Consider the following 15,696-nt stretch of genomic DNA (forward strand, 5'->3'; position numbering starts at 1 on the left):
TTTTCTCTCGAGGCTGTATTTAATAGAACAAAAGGTCTTTGGATAATTATTGAGAAATTGCCTCACCACCCTCTCCAGGCTCTGATTTTCAGGTGGGTGTTTCTGGTGATTTCCCAGCTGGGCTCCCCTCTCCAGTGCAGCCCATAGTCCCAGGGGGATCTCCTTCAGCTGGAGTCCAGTGCAGCAGTCTCAGGCTGGTCAATGTGAATCCCCTTTCCACATCAGGGAGGAATCTCCTCACCTGTGGGTATTCCCCAGGCCATGCCTGGAGGCACAGCTGTGCTTTCTGGCCTGTGTGGCTATTATCTTGTTCCGCAGTTCGGTGTCTGCAAAACTTTCCCTTGCAGGTGGTGTGGTGTCCACGTCCACACCCACAACTCCAGCATCCCCATGGTCTCCATCTTGTTACTCTCCAGAACACGTAACAGACCAGGGACAAATACTGTTCCATACAGAAATCTGCAGACAGCTCTGACTTTGTAATAGCCCTGGCCAGGGGAAGAGTGGGCCCAGGGTAAAGAGGAGGCCCTGATGCACAGCAGGAGAGGTTCTCTGGAATGAGTGGGCAGAGCTTTGCTTTCACCTTGACTGTCACCAACTCACTAAGTGACCTTGACTGAGTCTGTTTCCCTCTCTGGGTCTTGATTTCCTCATTTTGCCAATGAAAACCCTTCCTAGAGCATCAATTTTCCTTGGCTGTTTGGCTTTAAAATACTGTAAGTGAAGACAGAGGTCTTTGGGAAGGTTAAAGCTGTCATGATCATCGCAGTCTTACTGGTTGAGGTTTTGTTGAATTGACATCCAATATGAGAAGATGCCTTAGTCAGCAATCATTTGGTTCCCAAGAATAGAAACCATCTAAACTCCCCTTAAGTGAAGAGATGGAGGGGAATTTCCAGACACCCAATTGTAGAAGAATTACAACTGGGCTTCACAGAGACTGAAGGTCATTGGGTGACTTCTTTCTCTTTGTCTGGTGCCATGTGCCTGCCTCTGCTCCAGTCTTCTCTTGGTAGACCTGTTCCTTCTCTAGGGCCTGTAGTTAACCTCCCCAAACTCAGCTACTGTGAGGTTCTGCCTGGTATGGGCACCAGTCTGGCCCTGGATTCTCTTAACCTATAGCTATGATACTCAACACCATAGAACTGTCTCTGTGAGTGAAGAACCAGCTTGGGTGAGGTGTCCACCCTTAGTCTGATCACGTGTGTGTGCTGAGTAGGATCCCATGTTACTGAGAACTGAGATCATTGTGGTGGGTCCTGGGGAGAAGGTTCTCTGAGGGGTAGCCTAGTACTCTGTGATGGAGCTAAGTCATCTGTTTCAATGTTTCATTTTACAAAGAAGTAAAATGAATAATGGAGTTGAAATGACCAGTAAAGGTCACACAGAGAATTAATGGCAATGCTGTGACTTGAATTCAGTCCTCCCAGTGTATAACAGAGGCATCACTGCAGCCCTTCTCTGGTTCAGATGCAGAGGAGTATTGATGCTTGGTGGATGTGCTCTGTAGTGGAGACGTGGAAATCAAAACAGCATAACTCTGTAGCCAGGCTGGATGTGCCAGGTATGTCTTCTAAAGGCCGGGAGTTACTGTAGGTGGGCAAGGGCTGCCTGCCATGAGTGGAACACTGATGCAATTCTGGGGTCCCACTCTGAAGCCTGCAGGCTAGGTGAGGAGACACCAGATGGATTTGCACAGCAATCTGGGGGACATTCCTGGGGCTGATTTAATGCCTCTCCCAGGGCTCACTAGAACTGGGCAGACCATTCCTACTGTGTTTATCAGCCACAAGGAGGCCTCCCCAGGACACATCTCGGATGTCTTCTGTTGCCTCCCAACTTTCCACCTCCATATATGGTGACAGAAAGCATGTGCCATACCCTGTATCCACACCCTCCCAACTGCACCAGAAAAGGGAATGTTTATTTTTAGAAACGGGGCAGGCTCTGGGGATGTACCGGAGAGCAAACAGGCAGTGTTTCTGCCCTGAAGGGGCTTATGGCCTAGAGCAGAGGGCAGACAGAACCACACTATGCTATGTGCTGTGAAAGAAAGGGGCAGGAAGCTATAAGCACACCTGGGGGATCCCTGACCTGGCTCAGGGAGGGCCTACCAGGATGACCTCCCTGAGGAAGTGCTTGGGCTGAGAACTGAAGGATGGGTTATTACAATAACTAATATTTTTGAGCACACACTAAGTGCTCTGTGAATGCTGAATTATTTATTCCTCTAGCTAAAGGTTCTGTTATTGCCTCCATTTCACAGATGAGGAGACTGAGATACAGTTAGCTTTTGCCAATTGTCTAAGACTACACAGTTAAAAAAAAAAAAAGAGGAGGGTACTATACAGCTGGAGACTCAAAGCCTGTCAGTCTGACTGCAGAGTCTGTATTAGTAACCACTAAACCGCAGCAGCTGTTAAGTAGGCAAGGGTGTGAAAATGACAGAAGGGAGGCTCAGAGAAGGCACTGAGAGAAGGCTAGACTGGTGGAACCCAGCAAGTGAGGTGCAGCCAGGGGCAATACAAGGCCTGGGGCCTTGCAGGGCCTTGAAGAGCCTTGTAGGGGCTTGTGGACCACATTAAAATTTGAGTTTTTATTCTGACTGAAATAGGTAGGAAGACACAGAAGGAATTTAAGGACAGGAAATACATAATGAGAATTGTATTTTTAAAAGACTATTCTGTTCTATTTGTGGAATGGTGAACAGATTGGAAGGGGGTAGGAGAAGATGCCAGCAGACAAATTTAGAGGCCACTACAGGGGCCCAGAGAAGGGGCAATGGCAGTTTGAGGGTGGGGAGGCAGCAGTGGAGAAGGAGAGAAGTGGGAGGGAGAACTGGTGAGTTCTTTAAGAGGGTGGATTGACAGTCTTTTGTATTATGGGGGCTGCAGGAGAGGGAGGTGCTGAGAAGACTCCTTGGATTCTGAGTTGTACATCCAGATGGAGACTGGTGCCATTCACTGACATAGAAGGCACTCGAAGGATGGACTTATTTTCTGTACTTGTCCACACTTTTATGTATGTGTGACTCTCAAATTCTAAGGATAATTTTAATTTGAGGATGTTTAAGAATAGTAATGTGTAAGAGGTGGTTTGATGGCTCTGGGAAATGAGAAAACGGCAACCTGGTATTTTCTGTCACTTATGGATCTGCACTGTTACTAAAAAACATGACTTAGCGGGTGGAGCTGGACACACATCACCCCCAAGTGGACCACAGGGAATGAGGTTCTTAGGCAGCCTTTCTGAAGGCGAGGCCTCCGCCCTGGCTTTCCAAGCTCACTTGGCAGGACATTCAGAAAATTTATACTACTTGCTAGAATTCCACATTCCCCAAACCCAGGTTCTCTGAGGGAGGCCTAAGTATGGAGGAACATCCATGTAATCATATGTAGCAGGCATGAAGCAGGGGAACAGAAAAGTACCAGGGAAGCTGTGAAAAGTTTCTACTCCAGCCTTTGTAACTGGGAAAAAGTTTAGAAACAGAGGACTAGGAAAAAGCCACCAAATAAATGAACTTCGAGTAACAGGGAGAATCATTCACCTCCTACCCACCTAAAAACCCCTCTTCCAGCATAGAATATCCACACTCATCACAGGCAGGTTGAAGCAGACTATACTGGATACTGTCATATATGTCCAGATCCCCCCTTTGGGAATGAGGCACTCATTCCTCCAGCAGCTGGTAGTAGTGGCTGCTGACAGCTCACAGCTGAGGCCCCTTTGGAAATTGCCCTCTATCTCCCAAGATCATGCACTCTTCCCCGAGGCAGACTTGCCTTCATTACAGACAACCCTGAAAGCCATCCCAGCTCCATACAGAATCCTGTTGCAACTGCCTCTCAGCTCACCTTCTCCCTCTGCCCCGCCCCTGGCTTCCTTCACTCCCAAGAACACACCCCAGTAAATCTCCTGCATGTACATCTCCATCTCATAGTCTGTTTCCTGGGACATTTGACCTAAGACACTGTGCTGGCTTTGTAACATGTCAGTTTGGCTTGCTGACATGCAATGATTCCCTTTACATGTGTTTCTGGTTAAGGTGGGTGAACTAGGAGATCCTCTAAGGATTTTTTGGGGGCAAAAGGGAGGCAGTAGCCATCATGTAGCACATGTACACTGTTGTTAACCTGCTGACTCACCTCCTTGGTGAAGCAATAGCTGGGCCAGGTGTGAGTGTTTAGCTCAGGGTTGAGGGTCTGGTCTATGTAGGAGTTCTTCACCAAGGTCAGAGGCAACAAGAATAGTAGGTTCCAGCCTGTCCTTGTGAGGTCCCAGCTTGTGCCTGTGGGGTTCCAGCCTGTTCATAATCCTCCCTTCCTGATGCCTGCCTTGTGGTCTTTAAGCTCCACCATCAGACACAGAGACAGCCTTACATGGACTATTTAACCAGCTCCCACAATGCATAGGTCAATTACCTGTAAAAGGTCCCTTAATCTATCTCTCTCTCTCTCTCACTACCCCTCCCCCCTTTCTCTATCTCTCCTACTAGTTCAGCTTCTCTGGTCCAGCTCTGACTGATATAGACACATTCTAATCAAGGAAAAGCTAAAATTCCTGCACAAACTAGTGTAGTAGCTAATAGGGTCAGGTTTAGTGAGAACAACGGGAGCTTAGCTGACAAAGTCTGCTCTTTGAAGAAAGAAATATGAGCAGTAAGTATGACCACCCTGGTGCCAGGATGTGGAAGACCAGGTTATCCCGGCCCAGAAAGGAAGGTGAAACAAATGGGACGGCATCAAACAACGGAGCTGGACAATATTAGATGAGACCCTGCCCGGCCACTCCTGATTTAAGGCTGCACCAGTGTCTAATATGGAGGGGCTGGTGGTTAAATCCTTACCTCTCATCTGCCGCAGTGTTAACACTGAACTCTGGATATATAAGCATATATAAAATAATATACAAGTTCATTCCATAGTTTGCCTCAGTTCTCAGCGCCTCCTTTTGTGTTCCACCAAAGGCCCTGAGTTTAACTGTCCCTCCCACCCCCCAGCTAACTGGGGCACTGCCCAGGTGCAGTCGATCAGGGGAGCCTCCTACTGCACAGATTCAGGTATGAGCTGAGGCTTTTCCTGAGGGGTTTTTGCCTTTTCAAGAGCATCTGTTTTCTAGTCATGCTTGCCCCTCTTCTTTCAGGAAATAGTTACTGTACTTTTTAGCTTTTGAGCATGACTGAATGCTGCCCCTCAGGGTTTCCTGGGTTGGGAGTGATTTTCCCAACATGGAAGGATGAGGGATAATCTAGGCATAAGGAGGGGAAGCAGAAACAGAAGGTTTCCAGCTGAGTAATGAGAGAGGGAAAAAGAATAATAGCCTCAAAGGAGAATGGGAGGAAGAGAGTTTATTAGCCACTATTTGAAAACACAGTGGTCCCAGAGCAGAATTCTTAATAGAGTCAATGGTTTTTACACATATTTTACCTGCAAAGCTGGAAAAAGCATGTGAGAAAGGAATACAGAAACTCCTGAGGACAGCTTAACTTTCGATTCTGCTCTCCTTAGAAGATCCAGTCTCTCGCTCTTTAGCCCTTAGGGCCTTATCCAGGGATTCCTTGCCTCCTTCTTCACAAACCGTCCCTCTCTCAGAGGATCAGACTAAGTATAGTGGAGCCAGTTCTCTTGGGAAGGCTGTGCTGCTTGAAGGCTGCTCAGGAATGCTTCTGAAAGGGCTGAGAAATCCTTTCTTTTTCTGTCCAGCTCCCCCAACTATTAGCATATCTGCCCACTTTGGTAGGCTACAAAAGTACCCACCTCTCCCAAAAGATATTCACCTCCTAATCCCTGGAACCCATGATTATTACTTTATGTGGCCAAAAAGGGCCTTTGTAGATGTGATGGAGAATCTTGACGTGGAGAGATCATGTGGATTATCCAGGTGGGCCCTGAGAGCAATCACATGATCCTTATTAGAAGGGGCAGGGGGAGATTTGACACTCAAATACAGAAGGCCACAGGAAGATGGTGCAGAGAGAGACACAAAGATGTAAACTTTGAAGATGGGAGTGATATGGCCACAAGCCAAGGAATGCCAGCAGCCGTTAGAAGCTGGAAGAGGAGACTCCAGGGGAGAGCAAGACCCTGCCAATACCTTAATTTCAGGGCCAGTGATATTGATTTCAGACTTCTGGGCTCTGAAACTGTGAAAGAATACATTTCTCTTGTCTTAAGACACCAAGTTTATGGCTTCTTTGTCACCCAGCCCCAACGACCTAATGTATAGACCCTTTGTGTGCTTCTGTGGAATGTCTCCTACATCAACCCTGGGAGAGTGGGGACCTCCAGAGAAACGGTGTGGGGAGGCCAGTGTGCAGAGATCTCAGTCCCTGAGCAGGTAGGTTTGCTGGTGGGAGGGAACTGAGTTTAGACCTAGAAAAGGACCACTGAGTGCAATGAGATAGGACGGCCCAAGGGCTGTTGATTTGAACGCCCATGTGTTTATATTCTGGTGTGACTTCTGATCTGTTATTTCATTTTAGGCATGCTATTTAAACTTTTTGAGTTTCCTTCTCTGTAAAACAAGAAAAATAATATATACCTTATCAGCTATAGGAAGAATTTAATGGGATGAGGCAAGTTAAAAATAGTGTGCATAATTCTAGCACATTTAAATGCTAAGAAGGTGATTCCTACAAGAAAAGAAAAGGTATGGCAATTCAGGTATGGTTCTAGCAAGTCTAGCTTCTGGGAGGACAAATCCCTGTGGTCTGACTGCCAAATTGTACCTCAGTTCACAAGTTTGCTAGAGCTGCAGTCAGGGTCAAGATGGTGTCTGTGTGCATTAGAAACATGGTGTTCAGGACGCAGGAAGTGGAATCAGGCTGAGGGAAGGAAGGTGGCAGGGACCAGGTAGATTCTAGGCACCAGTCCTAGAGGGTCCCAGGGTAGCAGGCAGCAGGACTGGCTACATAATTTGCCAGGCTCCCTGCAAAATGAAAATGTGGGGCCTCTTACTGAAAAATAAGAATTTCAAGACAGCAATAGCAGAGCATTAAACCAAGCATGGAGCCTTTTTGAGCACAGCCCCTTCTGAACACAGGGTCTTGTGCAATGGCATAGATTGCAGGTTCATGAAACAAGTCCTTCAAGGTTTGAGACAATGGGGAATTCAGAATAAAGTCCAGCCTGAGAAAGGCAGAGTCCTGCTGAGTCTCAAGGCAGTGCCGCTGAGCCCTGATGTGCATAGGAATCACTCGCCCCTTTATGTTAATACTATTACTGATAACAAATAACAACACCAGTGATAGCATTACCTTAGTAGCCTGTATTTATTGAGCACAAATCATGTGCTAGAAGCAAAGCTAAGTATTTTACAATGCATTGTCTTTTTCTCCCTGGTTTGAAAAGAATTAATAATACCAACCTATGCCAGGTGATTGTCAGTGATCTTATTATATATTAACTTATTTAAAGGCATATAAACGTTTTACTATTATTTTTCATGCATCATCTTGCTTGTGCCTTCCATCATCCCTATAGCTGGTACCAGCACATTATGCCCATTTGACAGATATGGAAACTGAAATTGAGGAAGGTTCAGTAACTTGCCTGTATCTGTCTGGGTCCAGAGTCCACGCTCTCAAGCTCTCAAGTAGTTGGTCCTCATTATAAATAAACTGAAAGGGATTGAATGTTGGCTAACACTAAACAATTTACAACATGCTTTCATTCATGGTAACTCACTACAGCCACCTGGGAAGCATTGCTGGTATCCAGTTTATGGATGAAGAGATTGAGGCCTGGGGGTAAGTGAGCTGTCCAAGTTCACAGCCAGTAAGTGGGAGAAGCCAAGCCCAGGGGCTGGGGGCTCTGTGAGAACAACGTGCTGCCTCTTTTTCATTGGAGGGACAATGGAATGAGGTGTATGCAAGGATCTGCATCCAGCTCCCGAGTCTGATGAGTTCTGGCAGTGGCTCCAGGGAAAGGAGGAGTCCAGGAACAGAGCTGGTGGGGGAGGCGCTCCCAGGAGTGGCCTTCCCAACAGCAGGTGCTGCACTCCTGCTGCCACTGAGGAGTCACACGTTCCCTCTTCTGAAGGACTCTCCCCTATTTCTGGTGAGCATTCCCCTTCCCCAGGCCAGACAGGCAGCTGAGCAACAAGGGCTAAGAGAGAGTTCAGACTCTCGGGTTCGAAGCCTGACTCTCTCTCTCACTGGAAAACCTTCCTCAGTTTCAGTCAAGTGGAATTAATAATAGTGCCCTTCTAACAGGCTTGTGATGAGGATGAAATGAATTAATCCACATATATCTCAGAGAAGAGTGCTCATCTCAGAAGGTGCACTTAAGCAATGTTGTGAGTAGGTGTCCTCTTCGTGCAGAGAGCTCTCATCCTGGGGTGCTGGTTGGGACCATAGCAGGTCCCCCTGAGCTGAGAGGCCAGCTTCCTTGTCTGAGCAACTGTCAGCCTTACCCTGCTTGGCTGGGCCCCGCCCTGGATCCCATCCTCTTCCTCATTTTCATTCTGCCAACATTTTGGCAGCAGCTCATTGTTGAGATTCTATGAGATTCTTTTTTATCCACATGGATTATATATAATCTTCAAAGAAAATGACACCAATTTTCTCTCCAAGTGTGATAGACTAGATCAGCTCCCATTGGGGTAAGGAGGTCTCAGTTCTGGTCCTAGCATTACTATTTGTTAGCTGTGTGATTTTGAGGATAGCATCAAAATTCTCTGGGCCGTGGTTTTCTTGCTAAACAAGGAAGGAGTTGGATTTAATTTTTTTTTTTTTTTGAGATGGAGTCTCACTTTGTCGCCCAGGCTGGAGTGCACTGGCACGATCTCGGCTCACTGCAACCTCTGCCTCCAGGGTTCAAGTGATTCTCCTGCCTCAGCCTCCCGAGTAAGTAGGACTACAGGCATGCGTCACTGCACCTGGCTAATTTTTTGTATTTTTAGTAGAGACAGGGTTTCACCATATTGGCCAGGCTGGTCTAGAACTCCTGACTTCATGATCCACCCACCTTGGCCTCCCAAAGTGCTGGGATTACAGGCATGAGCCATTGCACTTGACTGAATTTAATTTTTGAAAAGTGCCCTGAGCCACCACTCCATGCCAGATAATGTAGGGGGTGGGGTGGGGGGGGGGGGGCGGGGCACCAGGGGAGGTAAAAACAAAGGTTCCAAGCCCCCCCTCAAAGAGCTCCACTCTGGGGCAGAGGAACACCATGGTGAAAGGACACATCATCCACTAGCTATGTTTGACTCTGACACTCTGGAATTATCCCTATTGTCACCCTTGACTCCCACCAATGCTGTCATGCTTAACAGTGAACAAATATGTCTGTTGCTAGTCTTTGCTCTTTCACCAGGTATCTGTTCTGTCTAAAGAAAAATTTCATTAGACAATCCGAGTTCTGAACCATTGGTTTAGCATAAAATGTGTCCCCCTAAAAAGGTCCTCTTACTGGTCAAAGTCCAAGGTTATGATAATGGCTTACAAAGTTCAGAGTCAGATGTTAGATGTGGCCCTGAGTTTCTCGGGGTTGGTAATAGAAGAGACATTCTCCCAGCTCACCTATACCCTTTTCCAGGAGGCCTCTCCCTGATATTTCAAATCAGCAGGCCTGGAGGCTTCTGTCTCAGTAATTCAACAACTATAGCAGCTGGTTCTTTTCCCTTAAGATTTAATACTTGTCATTTATCTATGTCAAAACTGTAAAGGAGCAAGTTTCCAAAGACAGATTTATTATGTGTGCTGAGTGTCTCAGGTGCAGCAGTGCATATAGATGGGCTGAATTCCATATTTTCCCTGAGTTTTTGTTCTATAAAAATAGCCACTTTTACTTTGCATTCAGACAAGCAAGAAATATACAGTCTTGAGCTGTGAGTCACCACAGGGCACTCACAGACAGTAACATTATTGTGAGACTGGGCTCTAGCCATTGGATTCAGGATCAGCTGCCTAGCTTGCACATGGGTTGGCTTAGGCAAGGAGCAAGTTGTAACCAGAGCTAGCTACATAATTTGTGAGGCTCAGTGCAAAATGAAAATGTGGAGCCTCAGGGTTAAAAAGCAAGAAAAAAAGTGCTCTTATAGATAAAGCTTTTTTCTTTCTTCTGCAGTCTCTCTCCCAGCTTGTCATGGTGTTTTTCATTTGTTATTTAATGTCATTCTAAGAAAAATTAAAGTTTTGAATTATTAGCATGAATTTTAATTTATCTTTACATCGTGCAGGGCAAATATAAACGCAAATATAAAAGCACTTGATGTGTATGTGGAATTACTGAACTTATACAATTTGCATTTTGTAGCCCCTCCCCAAAAGGTGCCTTGAGCTGTCCAGAAGAGACAAACCGAAGCCCTGCACTGGAAGGGAGGAAAAGAGAGAGGAACCCCTCCCCCCAGCAAGGTATGTTGCTGGCTGTAGCTGCCTGAGGGAGGGCTCCAGGTGTGGGGACACTTGCAGGGGAGTGTGGAGCCTCATAAGTGCCCCGGACCTCTGCCCCTTGATGGAAGAGGCATGCACACTCTTCCTGCTTGTGCCAAGGAACCCTGCCCGAGGCAGCCAGAGGCAACTGGGGCTGTGGGTCTGAAGAAATTAAGCCAGGCATCTTTCCTTTCCATGGGCTCTCACCCCTCCAACCCATGGCAGTTGGCTTCCCTGGATTTTTGAAACTGTGTGCTGGGATGTGCTTGCTACCTGGATTGGGTAGGTGAGATTTAATTCCCTGGAGATGGGGCCTCTGGCTAGCCATCCAGCAGGTGTGTAGGGGTGCTGCCAAGCCTCACTACCAAGACTGTGGGTATGTGCTGGGGCCCCGACTCTCCCTGTGTCCTGTCTGGGGTGGAGAGCAGCCACAGTTGTGCAGTGGGGCCTGGGGGAGAGAGAGGCCCCACAGCCCCCGCGGACAACCATCCTGGAAAGGTGGGAGGAGGTAGGACCACAAGCAAGCTGAGGTCCTAAGCCCCTGTGAGTGCCCCATTGTCCCATGAGACCTCACAAAACACAAATTCGAAGATACAAGTCTTAAGAATTTCAAGATGGCAACCACAGAGCATTAAACCTCCTGAGGAGGGAGCCCAGTATGTGGCCCCTGCCCCTGAGGCCGCCCTGGCTGTAACCCTAGATCCACAGCATGGCTTGGGACTGACACTACCCTACTTAGTAATCCTTGGAGCTCTGACCCTTTCAGGACCTCACCCAGCAGGCCAGTGCGTTTCAGGGCTGTGACAAAGAGGGGAACAAGGAACAAATGTTGGAGACAGAGGCAGAAACCCTGGACCCTAGTCCTGCTTCTGCATGACCCTATCATCTGTATTACCTTGATAAAGTCATTCCACTTTCCTACATTTACCTTTTACCACAGGGTAAAGAGGATGGTGTCTACCTTTCTCCTTTGCCTCCCCAAGATATTAAACACAGAACGCTAAAGGAAATGTATGTGGGTGTCTCCAATCTTTAGAAAGCAGATGTCGTATAGTCACAAGGCTGAAGAGAAACTGCAAGCCAGCTGGGTCGATTTTTTACTCCAGACTTCAATTCCTCCTTCAACATTCCACTAAGAAATCGACCTGCCTCTGCTTGAATTTCTCTTGTGACAGAGAGCTCACTACCTTTCAAGTCATCTCATTCAATGATTGGATAACTCCTACTGCTGTAAAGGGCCTAGAATAGTGTCTGGCACATATTAGGTATTCCATAAATATTTGTTTTTTTTCTTTCATAATTGAGATTTTATTGGTTGCATTGAGGATCAGTACACAGACATTTCAATTTGTACACAATTCTTAACATACATACCAATAATCTAAAAAGCCGTTATTGTAATTCCTTTTTAAAGTTGTTCCAGTGACTTTCCAGCTTAAAATTTGGAGGCAATTTTTCCTTAAGAGGCTATCAAATACCAGTATCTTCACATATTGATCAACTGTTACATAGTCCCACCAATTCAAAATTGAATTGCATATATACCACATACTCAAATTTTCAGTCTTCCACAGCACATGAACAAATTTATTAGGGAAACAGGGCTGCGACCAAAGAAGGTACAGAGTGCACACAATTCTGACAGGGAGAGCCATGTTCAAGGGCTGGCTTTCTTTAGGAAACAATTCTACTGAAAAACAACATGGCACTAGAAGTAATTTAAAATGTCCGAGACATAAATGCAGGACTGTGACTCTACGTTGCCATTCAGTATGCTTTATATTAGAGCATATAAAAACTAACCCCCATCTATGGAATGTTAAGCTAACACCCAAGACAGTCAAAGCCTCCCATAATTCAATATCCCGCACTATCTTCTGGTTGTACCAAAAAATAAACAGCCAGCAAATGACTTTACTTCTTAAAAAGCATATACTTAAAAAATGGGATGAGGTGGGATTCCCTCAAAAACGTTTCTAGAGCTACTAAAATACTTGCATTTACAAAATAGTTGATAAAAATACTCTTCTGGATTGTACAAGAAGGGAGACGGGGACCGCTAAGACAGGGTACCTGCTATTAATCAGACTTGGCTTCTTTCTCTCTGGCTTCATCAGAGGCTGGGCTCTCCCCGATTTTTGTTTCTCCATTTTCTGCAGATAAATGTTCTTTAGTTTCTCGGTTAACCACTTGGCCTGTTTTCTCCTTGCTCCCCTGTTCCCTTTTCCCCTTTTGTTTAGACTTTTTTTGTCTGAAGATGTATCCTTTCCTGATGCCTTTTTGGCTTCATTTCCCCTTTTGCAGGAGCGGAGTTAGCTGAAAACTGCACCGATCCCCTCTTGGGCTCTTCCTTGGCTGCTGCCCCTTCGGCGCAACTGCCCTTCCTCTTGGGCTTCGGCAGTGGGAAGAGAGCGAGCCGGGTGCTTTTGAGCTGCAGTGCGCGGAGAGGCTTCGCGAGGCTGGGCTCAGTATTCGTTAATGATCAAACAATTATTTATGTTGACAGCCCACATCTCCCTTTCCGTAGTTTCCATCTGAAGACTTAGCTCTACCCTTCTGGTGCAGAACAGGAAAGCCTAATCTGTCTTCCCTGAGATTCAAGAAATTCAAGAGGCTGCTCCTCCTGGGGCCTCTGTCGGTATCCTCCTTGTTGCTCCTAGTTAAACTCTTATTCCTCAGGTAAGATGGTGCTGAGTCTACTCACCATCGGACTGTGGTGTCTAGTATTGGACACCACATCCCTGATGTGCCCTGACACCTCAGTGCTCTCCCACATAGAACCTAGTGGGCACTGTGTCCCCGCATCTATCTGAAGAACTGCTCAAGAGGCTTTGTGGGAGGTCTAGCTCCTCCTCACCCCCTCCAGGCTTGACATGCCTCCACCCCCACCACCCCGTACCCTTCGCAGCATACTTCCAGTCAGGCAGCAATCAGCTTGCACCTGAGAGGGATCAGCTGTGGTGACTGAGGCTGGCTTGCTCTTGCAGCCCCAGGAACACAGAGATTCGTGCTGAAGAACCAAATGGTTTCTACAGTACAAGCAGGCGCCAGGGACTCCGCAGGAGGCATCACTGGCACCTTCTAATTGATGAGCAGTCCAGCTCTGAAGCTGTGGGCTCTAAAGCCAGATACCTCCTCCAGGTGACTCTGATCTTCCTCTCCCAGCTGAATAGAGTGAACTTCAGCGTTTCTGGCCTCCAGTTCCTGAACTCTGCTTCTTCCAAGGCAGGTAAGGCAGTTTTGTTCCTCTGCTGGAAGAGTAATTTCAGGCCTCCCTGTGCCACATGCTGGTCCTTTTGCCTGGAATGCTCTTCCTGTCTTCTCTGCTTTCTCCTTCAAGTTTTAGCTTAGGCATCGCCTTCTCCGGGAAGCTCTTCCTGACCCCCATTGCTACCCACAGTGAGTCACTTGCTCTCTGTTCCTCACTTCCACGATGTTTCCTCCTGTCTCCATCATTCTACTCATTAGCCCAGGTGGCAATTATTTGTTGTGGTGTTTGTTGTAGACAAAGACAGTCTTGTTTTTTTGGTTTTGGCATTTTGCTACTAAATGTGTTTTTGATAAATGAATAAATATAATAACACCACAATAGCAGCTAAAAATTATTTATTGACCATTCACTATGCAAATGCACATGCATTTTCTTAAGTATTCCAATAACACAGTGCCATGGTTATTATCTCAGTTTTACAGATGTAGAAACAGGCTCACGTGAATTATGTAACTTGTTCAAGGCCATAATAGCAGTTTGTGGTGAGTCTGGGACTTAAACCTAGGTCTTTTAAAAAAATTATTATTCCAAAGTCTTGTTTTAAACTTTGTAATATGAATGTTTATCCCAAAGATTTTAAGCACTCCTGAATGTTATCTCTTACATCTAAGAAGATAGGTAGTTCTCAGAAAAAATCAATTGCTTAGAATGCCTTTTGCATAGAACTGCTGCTAATATTTCTTTTTGCCAGTAATAGAACTTAGACTCATATTAGGCAGTGCAAAGTAGTGGTTAAGTACTCAGACTTTGGAGTCTGCCAGACCTGAGCTCAAATGCTAGCCCTGATACTGGAATCTTGTGTAAATTACCATAACTTGCCCAAATCATAGTTTGCTTATACAGTATCTAAAAAGGGGCTAAACTATGTTGGAGAAATGAAACTGTTGTTTACAGATGCCATGATTGTGTGCTTATAAAATCTAAAATAATCTGCAAACTATGGTAGGCTGAAAAATGTACCTCCAACCCCACCTCCCACTCAGGATATCAGGTCCTAATTTCTGGAAACTATAGATGCTACCTTATTTGAAAAAAGCTTCTTGGCAAATGTTGTGCCAAACCCCCGATTTGCCTCAGTAGGGAAAGCACCAGGTTCACAAGGCCAAAGAAGAAACCCAGATGTGGGGTTCTATTAGGAGCTCACACACAGGGGAGAGAGTCCAGTGGCAGTGGGCTGGGCAGGAGACCTGCCTTACCTACAGCAATGGTCCAGTGGCAGTGGACAGGACAGCATAACCACATGGCCTAGTGGCAGTGACCTGGGCAGGAGAACCACAACTTCCTTTCTAACTGTAATAAAATTAGAAAAGTTTGCCAATGTTACAAAATAAAGTCCAGAAATAGACTCATATATCTAATTACCTGATTTGTGATTAAGGTAGTGCATAGGAAAGAAGGCATAGTTTGTTTATTAAATGTCGCTCCATCATGCGCTTTATACAGCATTTTCACTTAACAGCCTCCCTCTAATGACCTCCACCTGGTAATCTTTATTTAACCCAAAACTCAAGGCCTCAGTCCCCTGTACAGATCAGCCTGTGTCCCACAGGACTGGCCGGGGGGCTCTCATGTTTGTGATAGAAGAGGAATGAATCTCCAAGTTGGCCACTACTGGATTCCCTAGCTCAGCACAAACATTCAGGTGCACCTGCCACACAGGGTCATTCTAAGAGTATGTTTAAATCATTGCTATTAGGTGCATTTACCCTATAGCAGATGTAATTAAGTTAGAGATCTTGTGTTGGGGAGATGATCCTGGATTATTTGGGTGGGGCATAAAGACCATCACATGTGTCCTTATATGACGGAGGCTGAAGTTGGTCATACACACAGACAGAAGAGAAGGCCATGTGAAGATGGAGGCAGAGATTGGAATGATGTGGTCACAAGGAATGCTGGAGCCACCAGAAACTGGAAGAGGCAAGAAACAGATTCTCCTCCAGAGCATCTGGAAGGAGTATGGCCCTGCTGACACCTTGATTGTAGCCAAGATTTTGGACTTCTGGCCTCTAGAGCTATGAGAGAATAAATTTCTATTGCTTTAAGCCAATAA

General features: G+C 46.1%; 1 long non-coding RNA gene and 1 pseudogene across 1 annotated transcript in view; one reads left to right on the forward strand and one right to left on the reverse strand.

The window, feature by feature from the left end:
* LINC02752 (long intergenic non-protein coding RNA 2752) overlaps window positions 1-13,961 on the forward strand; it is a 68,227-nt gene extending 54,266 nt beyond the window's left edge. Inside the window, exons 6-8 of the long non-coding RNA NR_187402.1 lie at window positions 10,257-10,354; window positions 12,677-13,601; window positions 13,713-13,961. This is a non-coding gene — a long non-coding RNA (long intergenic non-protein coding RNA 2752). The remainder of the gene's footprint in view (window positions 1-10,256; window positions 10,355-12,676; window positions 13,602-13,712) is intronic.
* HMGN1P22 (high mobility group nucleosome binding domain 1 pseudogene 22) lies at window positions 11,960-12,829 on the reverse strand (annotated as a pseudogene).
* Window positions 13,962-15,696: the final 1,735 nt, after the last annotated feature.

The sequence above is a fragment of the Homo sapiens genome, chromosome 11 (genome assembly GCF_000001405.40).
Source record: "Homo sapiens chromosome 11, GRCh38.p14 Primary Assembly".
In the NCBI taxonomy this organism is placed as follows: domain Eukaryota; kingdom Metazoa; phylum Chordata; class Mammalia; order Primates; family Hominidae; genus Homo; species Homo sapiens.